The following is a 20,848-nucleotide window of genomic DNA, read 5'->3' as shown; positions in this document are numbered from 1 at the left end:
TTTCTTAATCTTTAGAATTTAGAATGGTGGTTATACATCAGTTTTCCTTGATTCTAGACTGGAAAGGAATGAAGATGTCACAGGGGTTCTGCTTTAAGGAATCCGAAGCTCTGGTGTCAGCAGAATTGATGAGCTCTGCCCCTGGGGAACACCAACACAACTTCATTGAAAGAGTTACAGGGATTTCATGTTTCGGAGGAATTATATACAGAGGTTTCTGTTTGAAGGTATATTCAAATACTACTTCAAACTGAGGTTTAAGGTTGAATATTTCAAAATTAGGAAGACGTCATTGAAACCCAGCAACAGTTGGCGATTCAGCAATTATTAAGTCTTCAGAGAAACATAGCTCTTCTGTAACATGGTTATTGAAGTAGTGTGGCTCCACTTCAATAAGCAAAAAAAGAGACAGCATTCCTCTTTAGAAAACTCAAAGGCATTACTTATTTAATTAATAGGTAAGGAAAGTCTTGAGCAGAAAAAAAGTAGTCCCTGAGATGTATTCAATTAGCCTTTTGTGCCTATTCTTTTGCTAACTTTTACAAGGCATCTAATCATATATTTAAGTACATGTGTGTGCTTTATTTTTTCTTTCTTTATCTTAATGGAACTACACCTTCATAGTAAACTTTTTATTATTTGAAATACTTACATGTGTTAAAATGAAGTTATCACTTCTTATTGTGGACTATAATTAGTCAAAGAGGAATAATGTAAAATGTCACATAGGACTGAGTCAATTTTGAAAATGGGCTTTTCAAGATAGATTCTGAAACTCCCTGTGCTGGTCAAGGTCAGCGTAGGGGAAAACCATAATTATAGATTTCTCAGACCTAGCAATTCAAAAAATATAGAGAGTAGCTAAGGTTCTAATTGTAATTGGATAGGGTGATTTCTCTTCATACAGTGATACTTAATTCGTACATCATTCTGCATGTGGGATTAGCTAAACTTCCAGTCTAATAGTCATTCTAAAGCCAGAGAGGAAATGGAGCAAAGCAAAATACAGTTCTTCAGGGATTTCTAGTCTAATAATGTCATTATGATAGCACGCAGAGTATGACTGCATCTTTAAAATCTTCTAAAGCAAGGGACGCACACCACTGCTGGAATGCACAATGGTTTGGAGTGGTGCAAGGTGAGATATTTCCTTTTTATTATTTGTTTTTAATATGTGTTAGATATAACCCAGGATTTCACCTATATTATTGCCGAACATGAAGCTAAAGTAAAAAAAAATGAATAAAAAAACTATTAAGCAAATAACAGCACAGCTATTTTATGAATGTTGTAGAACTCGTGAAGGTAGTATGCAAATGACTGAAATTGGGAACAATAAAGTTGTGTTCATTCATCCAACAAATATTTATTGAATACTGTGTTTCCTCCACACATATGGAATAGGAAGATATCAAAATATAAGATAGTCAAGGTCTTAGCCCTTGTGGATCCCACATTTTGGGTCATACCGCTAGTGGTTCCACAGAAGACTGGAATAACCTAAGGCTGTATACACTGAGGTGTTTTGTATATGTTTGGTGAACCCAGTAATAAAGTTCCTCTGAAGCTCATGTGGCTCAAGTCAACTGTGGAGCGGCCAGGGGTCTGGTTCAATTCCAGAATAAAGAATATGCCCCACAGATGCTGCAGCACTAAGGAGATGAGCAGATATATCCTCCATCATAAATAAGAAGATAAAACTAAATACCTCATTCATCCTGCCAAGTGCCCTCCTTCCAAACACTTCCACTACACTGTTATTCTCCATGTACTTACCAACTGTTTCAGCTCTTACAGTTGTACCCAAACTATAGGAACCCCTTGCCTCTGAGAAGCTGAATGTGAACACAGGAGAGCAAGCAATCAAAAAGACAACATGATTTGTCTTACTCCAACCGCCCTGGCCTGCTAATCTGACTTGCTAGATTTTTATCACAAGTTCCAGTTAGTACAAGATGAAAAAAGGATGTTGGTGAGCTAACATAAGATTGATTTAGAACACAGTTTGGGTACAGCCTCTTCACACTGGGCTGAGAAAAAAATAAAAAGCAATCTATCACTGAATTTTCTTCCTAGAAGCTTGTTGATATAGAAACAGAGAATCTTAAGCCAAAACAATAAAACAAAAAATCCAAGCCTTAGTGTGTGCAGTTGAGAGAGATGAGAAATGAGATAGAATAAAGTGAAACAATTCATAGCAAGTTTCCTCAGGGCAGCCCTAGCCTAAAATCTTAAGGCTTTCAAAGATTTTTTGAATGAAGTTCCATTCTACCTATTCAATTGGATCTGCTTCAGTGGGATTTCTAATCAAAATCGCTTGGTGTGTGTATAAGGGTGTGGGAGAGTGGGCACTCATTAAAATTGCATACACCTGGATCACCAATCAGACTCCAAATCTCTAAAGTGAAGGTCAAAATCTACATTTTCAGCAAGTTGCTCAGTGATTCTCAACCACATTCAAATTTGAGAATTCCTGTGCTAAACAGTAAACTCCTTGAAATGTACATTATATTTACATTTTTACATCAAGTTCAGCTCGGAACTTTAAGCCCACAGTGCACAGTGCCAAATTCAAAGGCTATCTCTGTTGTTAAGTACACTGGATTTTCCCAATTTTAATTTATCATTCCATAATAAAGTGAAAGAGGAAAGGGGCTGTTCATGAAGCATGTCAGGAAGAGCCTCTAAGTTTAACAGAGTAAAACAATGAAAATCTTTCAAAAATCTTAAGAAAATTGTTCGCTTTTCAGAACCTTACCATGGTGGAGAGAGAAAATGAAGCAGCATCTCAGGACCATGATTCTTGGGCAAGTTGCTACATCTCTCCCACTTTTCTCCAATAAGAAATGGGGGATTTGGATAGATGATCTCACACATATCGACAGTCAAACAAAGAACAGACATTTTGGAACTGTTAAGAGATTTTCTGGTATTACTGAATGTATCACACATTATTAGATACTAAGCTCACTTTTCTTTTCATTTACTAATATCAATTTTTTCTTTCCCAATTCTTTAAACTTTAGATATAGTAAATTCTACACTACACAATCCTCTTTTCTGTCTGCATTTCCTCAGAGACTCTGACTTAACGTTTGTAGGGTGGGCCCAGGTGCATTCGCTCATGCCTGTAATCCCAGCACTTTGGGAGGCCGTGGAGGGCAGATCGCTTGAGGTCAGGGGATTGAGACCAGTCTGGCCAAAATGTTGAAACCCCGTCTCTACTAAAAATACAAAAATTAGCAGGGCATGGTGGCGAGCATCTGCAATACCAGCCACTCTGGAGTCTGAGGCAGGAGGATTGCTTGAACCCAGGAGAAGGAGGTTGCAGTGAGCTGAGATCAGGCCACTGCACTCCAGCCTGGGAGACAAAGCGAGACTCCGTCCCCAAAAAAAAAAAAAAAAAAAAAAAAAATGTTTATAGAATGGGCTTCTTGTCTCTCCAAGGATTATCTTTATCCATTAAGTTACATTTGATCAGTTGTGAGTCAAACGGAGTGATGGCGTTCCAACAAAGCTTATGGTTAAAGTTATTTTAGTATTGAAGTTTTTTATACCTATTCTTCTAAACTCAAGACCCTAGGCAATTTATGCTCCAATGATCACCAAGGGCCTCTTCTGTAGATGGACTTAAATACTCCCTGTATGCCTCAACAACCTGTGCATCATATGCTTGGGGAAAGTAAAAATTGGTTTCATCACATATGAGAGTTGAATGTCTCCATTAAAAATTTAAACAAATGGATTCAAACATTTATCCACACGAATGCATATAAATACAGATATAAATACATTTACTCATCAGTGTTTTTCAACAGAGAGAAGGAGGTAAAAGTATAAAGAACAATTTGCAATAGGCACTGAAACAGCCTTCAGTGATCTTAACTAAGGCTTCATACTTTCAAGACACTGGCAAACTATTCACTAAGAATTACTGATCAGGTCCCAGGTTTGTAAACAAGAAGCTGAGAGCAAGTCTGAAGTGATATATGGGCATTATTGAAACACCTGTTTTCCTATATAACTCTTCTTATGCTCATACATATTTTTTTAAACTTAAGGACAAATATAGTTTAAATCTCATGCCGTTTAAAATCAGAATTGACAGTAATGGGTAAGTTTATACACTTTAAACATACTTTTAAAAGTAAATGGAAATTTTAAATTTTCTCCAAATATTATTACACTTGAACTTTTCAGAACCTGTTTTACATATATGAATTTCCTTAAAAATATGGTACAGAGAGCATAGGTCGGGCACGGTGGCTCACGCCTGTAATCCCAGCACTTTGGGAGGCCAAGGCGGGCGGATCACGAGGCCAGGAGATCGAGACCATCCTGGCTAACACGGAGAAACCCCGTCTCTACTAAAAATGCAAAAAATTAACTGGGTGTGGTAGCGGGCGCCTGTAGTCCCAACTACTCGGGAGGCTGAGGCAGGAGAATGGCAAGAACCTGGGAGGCGGAGCTTGCAGTGAGTGGAGATCTCGCCATTGCACGCCAGCCTGGGCAACAAGCGAGACTCCGTCTCAATAAATAAATAAATAAATATATATATATAAATATATATATATAAATATATATATATAAATATATAGAGAGAGAGAGAGAGAGAGAGAGTACAGAGAGCATAGACATAGTGTTAAAATTGGGGAAATGAAGTCATAATAAGAATTCTTTCAGATTCTATAGAAAACTGAAGCCAATGGGAATTACAAAGAGTACTAGATGCTGTGCTACCCTGGAAGTTAAGCATTTAACCTTCTGAATTTATTTCATATTTAGTCTCTTTCTAGAATTTTAATAGCAATCATTATATCATTATCTACTCTTTTGTGAGTCTTTCTCTTTTTATTGGTAATAGCACATTTCCTTTGACTGTTTCAAGGAAAATGTTTCAACTTAGCAATTGAAATTTTAGGTAATTTGTCAGAAAAATGACACCAGTAAAATTTTATAACAATATCTTTCCCCCCAAAAAAATCTTTATCATCCAATAATTTTCTGAGTATAACAGTAATACTGTGTAATTCTGCAGTAAAAAGATATTGTTAGTATTTCCAGTTTACATTTTTCCTCTTTCTTCTTGTAAATTATAGTAATGAGTTAAAGCCCAGTTGGAAAAAAAAGACCTGTAAAATCTGATATAAAGACATCAGATGTGATAGGATTCAGCTGATAATATAATAGCAATCATAGTAACTTTCCTGAGCTTTATTGCCAATTTTGCACAGAAAAAATAAACATTAAAAATATAAACCCAAGGAATTTGTAGTGAAATGGATTCCTTAATGTATATCCAAAGGTCTAGTAGTGATATATTTTACTTGTGAATAAAATATTTTATGTATATGTATAAAAATGTGAGGTGCTTAGAATTTTTCAAAGTGAAATGAGAGGCCATTAGAGAGTTTTAAGCAGGGGGTGGGATAACATGATTTAATTTATGCTTTTAAAAAATCAATCTGGCTGCTATATAATCAAAGGATATGAATATAGACGTAAGAGAAACAGCTAGGAAGTTATTGCACTAGTCCAGATTTTTAAAAATATATCTGGTGGCTTGGATTGAGGTGGTAACTATGGAGTAGAAAACAAATGGACATATTTGGGATAAGATGTTTAGAAACAGAGTAGGGCAAACTTGCTGATGGATTGGATGAGGCAGGTTAAAGAGAAGGGTCAAGGACAACATCTAGGTGTTTGACTTAAGCTAGATAGATGGTGATGCTGTTGACTGAGATTGGAAAGATTTAGGGAAGAAAAGAATTGAAGGCAGACAACATTAAGAGCTCAGATGGGGATCTTATGAATTTGGGATTCCAATTAGACATATGACTAGACACATCAATTTGGCAGTCAGATATTTAAGCCTGGACTTCTGGCCTTAAGAAATTATGAATTTTAGGAGTAAAATTATGAATTTTAGAATCACCTATGTATATTATTTTGAAGCTATCAGACAAGATTTCCTAGGGAAGGAGTTGATGAAGAAGTGAAGGGAACCCTGAAGATGTCAAAGATTAGAGACTGAGCAAGGGAAGATCCAGCGAAAGAATCTAAGAGGGAATGCCCAGTAGAGCAGGATAAGGATCAGAAGAGTGTGACACCATGGAATTAAAAGAAAAAAAAAGTGATGCAAGAGGAACAGAGTGATCAGTTGTGTCAAATTCTGCTGAGAGTGTGCCTAAGATGACACAGAATTGACTTTTGGCTTTGACAATATGGATGTCACTGGTCGATGTGGGTAAGAGCACCCTCAGTGGAGTGGTAGGGATAAGTGATAGAGTAGTTCCTGGAGTGGGCTTGAGAAAAGCTGTGGGGAGAGACAGTAGACTCAGAAAATATAGACAAATCCATGAAGATGTGTTGCTGTAAAGGTGAACAGTGACATGTGATGGTAGATGGAGTGATGCAGTGAAAGACAGAAATGGATATTGCAGGAGAGGAGAGGATAATTGCATTAAAATGGTTCAGGTACATTTACTTTTTCCACAAAATAAAAGAGATTTCATAGACTATGATATAAATTCAACGAAATCAGTTTGTATTAATTAATAATTAATTAGTATTGGAAAGCAGAAAGAGTTTCATTCAGCTTCTGTTTCCTATGAGGAATGTGTCAAGCCCATCGTTGAGAGTGTGGAAAGAGGAGGACAGATAGGAGGTTGGAGAAGAGACAGTGTAAAATAGTTTTAGAGATAGAAAATATGTAAATATTATGAAATCATTGTAGAAAAGCTTTAAAATAATTTTGGTGTCTCCATGTGAAATTAAAATGACAAATTCTAAACCATGTGTGAGGAAGTTCAACAATATTCTACTTTTTCTAACAGTGACTATTTTAAAATGTTTTGAAAAATCAAATATCAAATTATTTAATAGTCCAAAACTTTCTTTGGTGTTGCTACATTGCTCATGTTCTAAGCATTTTATTATATCTTTATATAGGCCTTTCTAAAATAGGGAGAGAGGCTGGAGAGAGCATAAAATGGTCAACCATATTGAAGGAAGAGGGTCATACAGGACAAGAGAGGTACAGAAACAGAAGCCTGATATTTTAAAGAATACCTTCTCCCACTCCTCATTTTGCTTAGGATCAATTTAGAAAATGCAGCTACAGCCATGCCATGTTTAACAGGCAAAAAGGAAGAAATGTTTGCTGCCATTCAATTAAAATAGAATTGATAGTACCCCTATAGCCAGTGATTTCAGACACTGCCATCAGCTGATATGGATGCCTCTTATGCAAGTACAGAGCAACAGAGATAACAAGTAGGAAAAAATATGAGCAATTTATTTCTTTAAAAACAGAATTTTAACTATCGACAAATTAAATACAATGTAAAAGGAAAGTATATTTAAAAATACAAGAAGGCACTTTATTAAAACTATAGTTAGGTACAGATTGGTGCTATCTAATTTATTTATTCATGCATATTTATTAGGTACCTATTATGTGTCTGGCACTGTGCTAGATACTAGGTTCATATGAAACAGTACATTCAATTTTCTGGAACAAAGTTGTGCTTTCTCAATGCTAAAGTGAAAACTGACTATAAAATTTGCTCTGTATGGTCAGAAGCAATCCAAGCGTATTAGTCTGTTTCCACACTGCTATAAAGACACTACCTGAGACTGGGTAATTTATAAAGAAAAGAGGTTTAATTGATTCCCAGTTCCACATAGTTGAGGAGGCTTGAGGAAACACAATCATGGCACAAGGGGACGTCTCACATAGCAGCAGGTGAGAGAGAGTGTATGAAGGATGAACTTCCAAATACTTACAAAACTGTCAGATCTCATGAGAACTCACTATCATGAGAACAGCATGGGGAAAACTGCCCCCTATCGGGGGAACCTGCCCCCAATTTCACATAGGTTCTTTTCTATATTCCCTAAGTGTTGGCCGGTCTGAGAAACAAAGGGACAGAGTACAAAAGAGAGAAATTTTAAAGCTGGGTGTCTGGGAGAGACATCACATGTTGGCAGGTTCTGTGATGCCCCCTGAGCCATAAAACCAGCAAGTTTTTATTAGTGATTTTCAAAAGGGGAGGGAGTGTATTAATAGGGTGTGGGTCACAGAGATCACATGCTTCACAAGGTAATAAGATATCATGAGGCAAATGGAGGCAGGGCAAGATCACAGGACCACAGGACCGGGGCGAAATTAAAATTGTTAATGAAGTTTCAGGCACGCATTGTCATTGATAACATCTTATCAGGAGACAGGGTTTGAAGCAGACAACTGGTCTGACCAAAATTTATTAGGCGGGAATTTCCTCATCCTAATAAGCCTGGGAGTGCTATGGGAGACTGGGGCTTATTTCATCCCTACAGTTTCAACCATAGAAGACGGCCGCACCCAAGGGGGCCATTTTAGAGGTCTACCCTCAGGGATGCATTCTCTTTCTCAGGGATGTCCTTGCTGAGAAAAAGAATTCAGCGATATTTCTCCCATTTGCTTTTGAAAGAAGAGAAATATGGCTCTGTTCCACCCGGCTCACCGGCGGTCAGAGTTTAAGGTTATCTCTCTTGTTCCCTGAACATTGCTGTTATCCTGTTCTTTTTTCAAGGTGCCCAGATTTCATATTGTTCAAACACACATGCTTTACAAACAATTTGTGCAGTTAACGCAATCATCACAGGGTCCTGAGGCGACATACATCCTCCTCAGCTTACAAAAATGACAGGATTAAGAGATTAAAGTAAAGACAGGCATAAGAAATCACAAGGGTATTGATTGGGGAAGTGAAAAGTGTCCATGAAATCTTCACAATTTATGTTCAGAGATTGCAGTAAAGACAGGCATAAGAAATTATAAAAGTATTAATTTTGGGGAACTAATAAATGTCCATGAAATCTTCACAATTTATGTTCTTCTGCCATGGCTTCAGCCGGTCCCTCCATTTGGGGTTCCTGGCTTCCCACAACAGCGCCCCCCTCTGCCATGATCCAATCACCTACCACCAGGTCTCTCCTTCAACATCTGGGGATTACAATTCAAAATGAGATTTGGGTGGGGAATTTGACAAAGCCTAACCATATTGCCAAGGCATCTATACCACGTGTGTCTGCTCAAAGAGAGAGCTTACTTAATTAGTGGTTTGCCACCATTAGTGAGATTCAGGAAGCACGGATGGTCTGGGTCCCAGTTTTTCACATACCGAATTGAGAGCTTTGGATGAGATAATCTTGAAAACTTCTAGACATTCTAGCGCAAAAATAATGTATGGTTTGGTCAGCTTTATTGAAGCCCTCACCTGCAGCTCTGATAAGATGGCAAGTCTCCCAAAGCCAGCCACTGCTCAGCTCTAATTAAGGGTATATTTTAATTGTTATGTATATATACTGTAACGGAGGTTAATAGCAAGTACCATTTCACTGGAACCATTGATAATGTTTTCAGTTGTGTTTATTCAAGACAACTTTGTAAGTTAAATTTTGTTAGCATTTCTATCTTAGAGGTAAAGGAAATTCAGCCTCACAGATATGACACAACCTGCTGAGTGAGCAGCAGAGCCATGGTACAGACCCAGATATTCTGAGTCAAAGTCAAGTGCTCTCAACTAAACTCAGTGCAGCAGGCTACATTTTTCTGTTTAAACTATGTGAAACCATTGAGAAATAATCACTAACCTAGTCATGTGCTTTTAAAAAAAGTATTTATTTATTTGGCCCTGTAATTGTACAAATTTATAAGGTACAATTTAATATTTCAGTACATAGCTATGTTGTGTAATGATCCAATCAAGGTAGTTAGTGTGTCCATTACATCATGCATTTATCATTTCTTTGTGGTGAGAACATTCAAAAAGCCTCTCTTCTAGCTGTTTTGCAATATGCAATGTTTTCCTGTTAACCACAGTCACCCTAGTGTGCAACAGAACACCAGAATTCATTGGTTCAATCTAATTGAGACTTTGAACCCGTTGACCAACTGCTCCCCACCTTCCTAACCCCTTCTTCTCCCCAATCTCTGATAACCACTGTTCTACTCTCTGCTTCTATTATATCAACTTTTTTTTTTTAAAGATTCCACATATGAATGAGATCACATGGTATTTGTCCTTCTGTGTCTGGCTTATTTCATTTAACATGACGTCCTCCAGGTTTATCCATGTAGTCACAAATAGCAGGATTCCATTTGTTATGGCTGAATAATATTCCATTATGTATATATACCACATTTTCTTTCTCCATTTGTTGTTAGACACTTACGTTGATTCCATATCTTGACTTGTGATAGCTATACAATAAAACATGGGAGTGCAGATATCTCTTTGAAATACTTATTTCATTTCCTTTGGATACATACTCAGTAGTTGAATTACTGGATCCTATGGTAGTGTTTTTTTTAAATTTTTTGAGTAACCTCCATACGTTTTTCTATACTATCTATACCTAGTCAAATGCCTTTGAAGCGTTTTTAAATTAGAAAACCCAATATGTGTAAGACAGGGATAAAAAAAGAAAGATATTAAATTGTGCATTTGTAATCCTCTGCGCAACCCAATCCCCACATTGGCCTTCTAAGAAGAGTGGATTACTGCTCACCTCATCAGCCACAGGAATGTAGTTTTGCTTATTGCAGGAGAATGTAGACAGGTTAATTGAAAGATGCCAAGAGAGTATCAATTGCTCTATATAAGAAAGGCAGCCTAGGGAAGCAGAATTTTCAGAAAATTAAGAGATTTGGAGAGGCTATGGAATAAAAAGTATTTTAAATCAACAGATATTATGACTTGGAGGAGAGAGATGAGTTATGAAGAATTTTAATAAATTTTTGCCAAAACTAGCCGCAAAGCAACCTGATTTTACATAAAACAAATAAGAGTCAAGCTTTTTGACTGAGGTGTCCAAAGACACAGCCTGGCCAAATACACCTAAAGCAAACTGCCTCCATGGGAAACTATTTCCTTTTCATCTTTACAGACAGATTAATTCTTTTAAAGTAAAGCAATTAGAATCAGGCTTAGCTCTGAGCACAGGCAGGTGCCTGCTTGAGGTGATAATTGGGAAATTAGGAGATGGCCTTCCCGCAGATGCCTTCTCCAACATCTTCTATTAGTTAAGACATCATCAACAGAGAATATAACCCTTTCTTTCACAGTTAAGGTAAAGAATTTGGTCTTCTACAATGAATTACCAACTCTACCAATATGTTTACTCAGTCATAATATTTAAATATGGTTATATATAATGACAGTGTAATGAAGGCAAACCATCTCCCTACCCCACTTAATTTTTAGCAGGGCTACAAATTTCATAATATTGGATTTAGGCTAACTTTACAAAAAATTGTGTGTTTCTATTAATATAGGAAACAATGAAACATAAAAATAATTAAACAATATGCATCAACTTGCATCCTAAATGTCTACAAATACGAATATATGTGTATATGTTTTACATATCTATATGTTTGAATATTCATTTATATGCACATGTACATATATATCTAACAATGCACTAAATAGTTGAGATGGAACTAAACAAAAAAGGTTAATGTAATTACAACAATAAAATATATTTAAAGGAAAAGCATGTGGGGATACCACAGACAGATACCCATGCTATCAAGTTGGCAAGTGAGTTGAGTTACTCAGTAATTTGACTAAACCTAAATTCTGATGGGAAAATAATTTCAAATTTATTTGCTGTTTTCAAAGGGCAGTGAAAACTGAAGACCCACAACTCCCCAAAATGATGAGGAAAAGAAGAAAAGGCTGTAAAAAATGGGAAATCTTGAATACCACAGTATGTAAGTCCAATTCAATGATTTTCTAAGTATGTAAAAAATGAACTGCTTAGTTTATGTACTTTCTTCTTTATCACAGGACTGTCTATAAAACTAGGAAGATAAAAACATATAAAATGATTTTGAAGCTTGGTCTATAGTTACTATTTATATACTTCTGCATTAATGATATGTATTATAACTAATAAAAATCTAAATAAAAATATTCAGATATGGACTATTAGGACCCATTATTCTTAGAATCTGTTATCAATGCATTATTATGTAACTTTCTCTGCTCTATATCCCTTTTTGCAGAAATTAAAATGTAGTCAATTCAAAGGGGCTATAAAATATAAAATTATAAAATTGAAAGGGGTATAAACAGAATGGCTCTTGGCATGAAGATGTTATTTAAAGAATAAAGTCCAGTTCTGGAAGGCAGTCCATCAGTCTATAAACTGTTATTGTGTCCATGGTCTATTGTAAATGGCCTTTAGAGAGATAGGTCTCCATGTCTTTTCTCTTATGACTTCCACATTACAGAGCTCAGATTGTGACCAGGCCCACTGGAAACTGTTTCAGTACCTGACAAGAGAGACCTTCCTACAGGCTAGAAGAGAGGCAAATGGGAATGGTTAGACTCCTCAAGTGATCTCAGTATGCTCGATGCTGTTCTTTTTCCTGTTGAAGAGAATTTATTCTCTATATAAGTATTTATATAATTATAAGCATTTTATGTAAAAATTTATAAGTATAAATAAAAATCATTTTAAGTTAAAAACATTTAAAATAAATGTATAAATAATCCATTCCAATTTTAAACTTAACTTTTTAAAAATGTCCTTTTTGACACCTGGTTCATCAATCTTTATGATATAAGTATTCACTTGTTGCCTATTCTTCTTTCTTAACAAATAATCTCAGATGTAGTTTAAAATAGAATTTGAGATATTTTTGTCCACTGTTTTTTACACAAGCTCTGGTGCCTCATGCTCAGGTTCACAAGCTTCTCATAGGAATGTATTTTAATATAAAACAGAGGAGTGCAGGTTGCAAGCTGGTAGTTCTTGGGCAAAAGCTGGTCCCTAAGTATACTGGCCTCCACCTATAGAGGGTTGTTGTTTTAAATTTTTGAACTAATCCTTAGAAATTAAGAAATTTTACAGTATAGGAAAAAATCCAGATTCTAGTTCTCTTCTGGAAAAATGAGATGATCCAGTAACACCAGGACACCTTTTCACGTGGCTGGAGCTGACTAGCAGAGAATATGTATACCCAGCCTGCTTCACTTGTTTATGTTACCTGTTTAAATGCCACAGACTTTGAGTTTGTGAACCTATTCTATAAAAAGCCCAGGGCAAAGGATACTACTGGACATGTTTGAAAGTCTGTCTAAAAGCATACTTATGTTTCTTCCATTCTTTTTACCCACATCTTCATTTGTAGTACCATCTCAAATTGTATTGAGCTTGACTTAGCCTGTAGTATAATGCCATGTTCAAATACCTGATCATATAGCAAGCTGTTCTTTTTCAAGAGTTGCACTTAAAATTTAGTTGCATATGTTTCTTGTGAAATTTTCATTTCACCCACTTTTGCAAGTTGCTGTTTTAGAGTACAGCTTAATTAAATTCTTACTTCATAAAACTACTGGTGATATTTCTACACTCTAAGAGAATTGGTTGATTTAAAGTGATGTATTTATTATAAATGAACTTTTGTGAAAAACATTTTGACATGCTATAAATGAATGAAAACCGATACCCAAAATACTTACAAAGGATTTGCATTGCATTTTATTCTAGAAATTGGAACATCTGTTCTCTAAATGAACACGTAAACCTTTCCAATTTTTATTTTTTTGCTTCCTCTTTAGGTGTATCTCAGCCTGCTGGCTGAGCATGCCAAGAAAATATAAAAGTTCTTGAAAAGGAAGTCAAAGGAGACACCTTGGAGCCTGTGTTTCATCAGACTGGGACATTAGGGAAATCTAAGGAAAATGGAGATGAGGGTATGTCTGCTTCTGTGAATGAAAAGCAGAATTCTTCTTTTCTTCCTAAAGATAAGAAACAGCATCCATGTGACAGCAAAATACATAGGAAGAAGGGAAATGATGATCCTCCTTTGGCTGTCTCTCATCAACTGGAGAAAGTCTTACCTATGATCACATTTAATGACTATGGAGAATCATTATCAGAAAACATTACATTACAGAATCTCCTAGGCACAGTAGAAGACTTTAAGCCAGCAAAAGGCAAATTTATTACAGAAGTGAAACGTGGGGATTTCAATGTGCAAATAGAAATCAAGAAAAACTTTGTCTGTAAACCAGGAATACAGTTCCCAACAAAAAAAGAGACATCCAAAATGTTGCCAGCGTTGCTCTATCAGACACATTCAGAGATGCTACCCTTCTAGGAGCTGCTTTCCTAAACATAAGAATATATTGGTGGAAGAACTAAAACCTGAGGTGCTGTCTAAACATGAAGGAGAAATTGCCAGAACCGACAGACCCTTGCTGAAAGTAACCATTGAAAGAAAAGAAATTAAAGTCAACTACATGACTAAGACACAGAATATATTAATTAATATAACTCATCCTAAAAGAAAGGAAAAAAGTAACTAAATACAGAAACATTTCCTCCAATCACACCACTAAAGAAACTTTCAGGTCTCCCTCACAGTCTGGTATTAGGTATCCTGAAATGTGGCAGCTTGAAAACAAGCATCAGAGTTGAGATTGTTTGTGTGTCTCTTCTCCTGGCATGTGTGCTGTCGAGAAGGAGAAGAATTTTGATACAGTGGTGATTTATCTAACCTCGACTCTGGAGAGAAAGAAAAATAAGCCTGACACACTATCTACAGTCTTAGAAGACTGTGAGGTAGAATCTGCTATCTCTCGGCAGAAGGTCTTTAAAATTAGTCAGAACACCCCCAGAAAGAAACATTTCTCTGAGTCTAAGACTCTTCTCAAAAAAATTCTTCCTACTTCACATAATACCCAAAAGACCACAAGTTTAAGTACTGCAGATTTAAGTAAAATGCCTTTCGAGGATTCTAAGGATGTGGAAAAAGAGAGAAAAATCAACTTTGATATCCCAGGAAATATCACATCAGACTCACATGTACAGCAAAGCACAGAAGGAATAAATTATTTGCCAAGTACCATTACTGACATCTTTCCACTCAAGATGGCAAAAACTTCACCTTTAGTTCTTCATCTTCTGTGAGTATGTAGCTCACAGAAGCAAAGGTAGCCAACATCTACTGCAAAGGAAGCAAGACTCCACCTGCAGAATGCTGTGAGAACTCAAATTCTGTATCTTTCCCTCCCACTCAAACTTCTCTGCAGTCTTGCACCTCATTCAGCCCACCTCACTGGGCCACCAGACATTTGAAACCTAAGGAAAACCCTGAGAGTACATTTTCTTTTAATCATTGTGCTGAGTGTGTGATAGATTATGAGAAGGAGCAGATTAATGTGACTGACAGAGACTTTAACAAAGCCATTTTACATAGTGACTCTCATGCTAAAGCACAGCAACTACTGGAAAGGAAGATTACACTGTGTCTTAATCTCAGGCCTGCTTCTGGCAGCAGCCTAGCAGCTAAGAGCCCACGCAACGGTATTAGCCACAGCACTGTGGAATGGAACCAAACAGAGTCACAGCAAGTCATCCAGAGATAGCAGCCCCGACCAAAACAAAAGCACTAGTTATGACCTTCATAACTGATGAGTTAGAGCAAAAATTGATTATTCAAGATGATAAAGAAACTAGTTGTTTCTAATTGTCCCATGGGAATGAAAAACCGTAAAGAGTCACCCAGCTCTCTGGAAAATGTTGAAAAAGACAAATGCCAGATAATACCCGTGGTGAATAATGCATACCACAGAGATTTTGAAGACCTGTCAAATGAGAATCGTGACAAAGTCTGTTTTCAAATGCATTTTTCAGCAAACACTGCTGAGTCCAACTGTGCAGTGTGTGCTTCAGATAATCTGTTTCTTATTGAAAAAACACTGACCAATGATGTGGACCTACATGGTAACCAAGATAAAGAAAACCTTGGACTAACTAGTTTTAAACAGGAGCCAGCACAGTGCCAAAGGATTGCATCAACAGGGCCAAATACTGAAGAGGATGAGAACAAAAATGACTCAAAGGAAAATTACTGTTACCAAATACACACGTTGATGCCACCTCAGAAGCAAGCTTTGAAAGGTATGGTGGGCTATACAGAATCATTAACTTTCATTATTTTTTATATATTTTAGCTTTGGAAAGTCTTAAGATGAGGGCTTTTTTAAAATTGCTTGGGATGTTTTCTTTATTGCTAAAGATATATTATATATTTTAGAGTTAGATGAACACGGGCAAGCATATATCAGTCTGTTTCTTTACATTATCACCCACTCCACCCATAAATAGTGCATCTTCAAGCCTGCAGTTTAATGTAAAAAAAAAAAAAATCAATTTCTCTTTAAAAGGTTGATATATTGCCAAATCAATTTTGTAGGAAATGTTAGTCTTTGCCACTCTTAAATAATCCACCATTTCTTTCCTTCTTGCAAGCTAAGCATGTTCAGAAGAATAGGAAGAATATGTTTGTAATAAAATATATTTTTAAATCTTGCTGTGGTGTTACAGAGGCATTGTATGTATGTCTTGGAAGGCCATGTGGAATAGTAATTACAACAAAGGACAAAAAACAGAAACGACCTTGCCTAATCCTCACTGAGCCACCATGGGGCCTCTGACCTCCAGCAGACCTCTGACCTCCCTTGTGCATTACTTGGACCAAATTGTTGATAGAACCCAGAAGCTCTCCAGACCTCAAGTAGGGCCAAGATGGAAGTTCTTTCCTAAGTACATAATTCTGCCTGTCTGCTTTCAATCTCAAATCAGCACTATATCATTTTTGTCACTTCATAGAAGGCCCTTGTTTTTTTAAATGAGTCCAAATTATTTTATATTTAATGTTAGCATTATTCCATATTGTAAATTAAAATACATTTTGAATGAGTAAAAACTGTCTTCTAAACTGCTGGTAATAATCCTAATAGCTTCAGAAATTATATTTGGAATGATGAAACTTAAAGGAGAAGGTATATTTTCTTTGTAGTTCTGTCTCTAGATTTTTGAATGAAATTAGTAAAATTTAGAAGTAGAAATAAAATACAAAAAGCATAATCAATTACATAACTGTTAGAATAAAATGTGAAATTTGTTTTGTAGAGAGTAAATGCCCTAAAACAGTATGAAAACTCTATGGTCATCTGCTTGATATGAACACCCTAAAGCAAGGACCATCAGTCATGGGGACTGCTTCCTGGTGCCAACATCCATCCAGAAATCAGCATCAATGACATTAATCCCAACACTGACTTCAGTCTATAGTTATTTGGAACTGCAAGGGAACCTGCAGTAAGAACAACTGTGCCTCCCAAAGGAAACACATGCTCACCTGGATGAATATATCTCCCAAGTTGACTCTCCTTCCCCCAGAGGCATGTTCCTCCCTGTCCTACCTCTCCCAGCGGGAAACATTTCTTAAGAAAATCAATAATTCAAGTCAGAATTCTCTCAAAGCTGATATTACACATCAGAGTTTGAAACTGTCCCATTTGGTAAACAATTCCAGCTACTGGTTCCCTGTGTTACTGATTCATCAAAAGGCTATTCCTACAACTCTCTCCCTGTATCCTTTTCCTTGATCACTCTTCCAGCCATATTGACTTACTTCCTAGAACCTTCCAGCCCAGATCCACATCAGGCCCTTTGCATGGACTGCTCCCACTACTTGGACCAGTCTTCCCCTATATGTCTACATGGTTCATTCTCATCTCCTCATCTCCTTTAGATTTTTGCTCACACAGCATGTTCTCAGGAAGGTCTTCTCAGACCACTCCATTTAAAATTGCAAACTGAACCATCTTCATTACAGCCCAGGCAAACGCTATCCTTTTTCCATTTATACATAGCACTTTTTGCCTTCTAATCTGCTATATATTTTACTGGTTTATTTTTGTTTTGTTCTGTCTTCTTTCACTAGAATATAAGTTCCAGGAGGGCATGGATTTTTCCTGTTTTGATCATTGCTATATTCATAAAATTAGATAGTACCTGTCCTGTAGTATAGGTGCTCAAATATTTATTGAATGCAAAAATAAATGCAGGGAAGTCACATCAGATTTCTTTGAATAGTTCACATACCAAAACAAACAACAACAACAACAACAACAAAACCAGGAACATAGTTCAGCAGTTATAATATTAATACAAAATATTTGAATCTATAAATGTTTGCATAGATTTAACTCTCCTAGAACTATGAATATCTTTATACTTTATTCAACATTATTGTCTTCATATTACTGATATCTCAGGCTAGAACTGGGTAATTTTTTCAGGGAGTGTATTGCTTTGAGAAACTGGGATACTTTTGGACTGTTTTTACCAGAAAATTATAAAATTGATATAGGCACAAACTTACACTTACATTTTGAAAAGCGATCCTCTAACCCCTTAACATCCATGCATGTGCCTCAGATTCGGAGTCCCTGACATGAGTGTTCACTGTAATATTTGTGTAGTTCCTTCCACCATGTGTGTGCGTTTAGGAATCAACTAGATTAGACGTCACAATGTGAACTGTCTACAGGGGCCAGGCAGGTGATGTAAATGAGTAAAGCAGGCTGTATGTGAGCAAGTCTGGAGTGTTGGTGAACTAGCGAGTGTGTCCTAAGGGAAGGAAAACGCAGGTCCAGTACAGACAGGCCTTCTGACTTCCAAATAGCAGGAGACCTGGATTCTTTAATGTATGAGTCTGCAGATCATGAGATTTGGGAGACACAGTACAAAGTAAGCAATCTGTGACCTCTGAACTAGATAAACAAGAGAAGGTGGGTGTGGTATGGGGGGTGTGGCAGGAAGTAACAGCCATCATGTTATAAAGGAAAGATACCAGATACCAGTCAAACCTTTAATAACTAAACACTAAGTTCTTCCTCTGCCAGGTAAGGGCTATACGTTGTTGGGTTAAAAAAGTAGTTGCTCAAGGCTTCATTTATTCAGCTGTTAATGGTGTGAATATATCTTTAAGAGCTCTGCCAAAGAACCAGAAATTCTATATCATAAAAAAATGTAATGAGGAAACCAAAAGTAGGCTAGCCTGAGAAAATTACAGACAATGAGAAGGATTAGATGATATTTTTACATGGCATAGAAATAGCCATAAACAGCCCTTTGTATGTAATATAACACAAAACTTACATACAATGTGTGAAATGTTTTATTTCTCTTAAAATAGGAGTGATTCTAAGAGTTCACATCAAGGCACAAAGTTATAGAGGACTGCAAATCTGAGAAAGTTTGTGGTCCCAGGCTCTGCACCAAGCACTGGGAATAAAAAGATGAATAAAAAATTATTTCATTTCACGTAGCAGAATACAACTGTTGGGATAGTTTCCAGCAAACTGACTTCTGGTGAAATCAGGAGCTTTCAACACCCGTGCCCACTTCAACATTTCTCAGCAGACGCACATTCCAAGATCCCAGTTTCAGCGGCAACGCTCTGCTTTTCTCCAGCAGGGCTCCTCCCAGATCTGCTTCTTTTTTGTGGTCTTCCCATTCATTTCCCAGGCCCTGCTCTGGCTTTCAAGGTGGTAGCTTTCCACTTTCACACTCATGTTTGGTATCTCAGACCATTTGTGCTGTTACAGCAACATACCAGAGACTGGGTAATTTATAAAGAACATAGATTTGTTTTTTACAGTTCTGGAGGCTGAGAAGTCTAAGGTCAAGGTGCCAGTATTAAGTGTCTGGTGAGGTATTAAGCATTTTGCTGCTACCAAGATGGCTCCCTGTTGCTGCGTCCTCACATGGCATACACAGAAGGGCAAAAAGGCCTAATCTAGCCCTTCTAAAGAGTACTAAGCCAATTTATGAGAGCAGAACCCTGAAGACTTAATTATCTCTAAAGGCCCCACCTCTTAATAATATCACATTGGATCTTAGGTTCCAACATATGAATTTTGGGGGACATATACATTCAAACCATAGCAACTGATAAAACATTTGTGCTTTTTAGTGGATTAATATATTGTTGCTACAAAGTGATAAGTGTGCATTTTAACAGAGTCCCTCAAGAGATTTGAATGTCTTCATTTCAGTACAAACAAATTGCCTGACTCCTTGAAAGACTTGATAAATATCTACTGGGTATTCATGGAATAAAGGGGAGGCTCACACGTGAAGGAAGATTACTGAGACATAGATTCAATGCATCACATAAAAACTTTCTATCATATTGTAGTATACAAGGATTAGACTGACTCAATAGGGAATAAATTTGAGTCTGGGAAGTGTTCAAGCATATATTGAATGATTACTTGGTAGAAATTTGGTAGAAATGTTTTGAGCATAGAGAGGTTCGTTAGAACAAATCACCTTCTATATTCTTTGCAAACCTAAGAGTCCACAAATACCAAGCAGGACAGTGGAAGTGGTACTTTGTACTTGGTGGGCATTTCAATCGTTTTCAGATCACATTTTAAAACACACTGTAGAACATATACTTTCCCCTAATTTGAAAAGATCAAAAGTATATGAAAAGATCCTGGAGGAAAAGTCTTCCCACCATATCCCAGGGCCATATTATCATACACAGTTTCCTAGGTCCATAAGATTTCTTTTATACTCCACACTTTCAAAAAAGAATTGCTGTTACACGTAAAGTATTTGATATCAGAAAATTATCCTCCTCATGAATGCCTTCATAGTTAACCTACACTCTCAATCTCAAAAAATAGCGGAACTAGAACAAGCATTGGAGAAATGGCCAGAGATCAGTTCTATATTATTTTTAAAAGTTCCACCACTCTGTAACATTCTAGTGAGCAAAAGCCATCTTGCTCATTGTGACCGCTCCAATAACCAACACGACAGAAATTAGTATGTAGAAAGTGAACACTGAATATTATCGAATGAATGTTGTTTTCCTGTCACCCTCATAAGAGGTAGGAGTCCACCGCAAAGTAATGGAAAATGAATTAGGTAATGATTCTTCTTTCTCCTCACCTGTTTAACCTTAACAAGTGAATTT

At 36.7% G+C, this 20,848-nt stretch overlaps 1 long non-coding RNA gene and 1 pseudogene across 1 annotated transcript; both read left to right on the top strand.

The window, feature by feature from the left end:
* The first annotated feature begins 95 nt into the window (after positions 1 to 95).
* On the top strand, positions 96 to 13,647 carry LINC02115 (long intergenic non-protein coding RNA 2115). Its single transcript, NR_104670.1, has 5 exons — positions 96 to 227; positions 1,050 to 1,138; positions 11,673 to 11,764; positions 12,287 to 12,377; positions 13,620 to 13,647. It is a non-coding gene; the product is annotated as a long intergenic non-protein coding RNA 2115 (long non-coding RNA).
* Positions 15,463 to 20,848, top strand: part of PDZPH1P (PDZ and pleckstrin homology domains 1, pseudogene) — a 96,086-nt pseudogene continuing 90,700 nt past the window's right edge.

Source organism: Homo sapiens, chromosome 5, assembly GCF_000001405.40.
Source record: "Homo sapiens chromosome 5, GRCh38.p14 Primary Assembly".
In the NCBI taxonomy this organism is placed as follows: Eukaryota; Metazoa; Chordata; class Mammalia; order Primates; family Hominidae; genus Homo; species Homo sapiens.
Note: the sequence above shows the minus strand (reverse complement) of the source record. Positions and strands in the feature narration are given on the sequence as shown.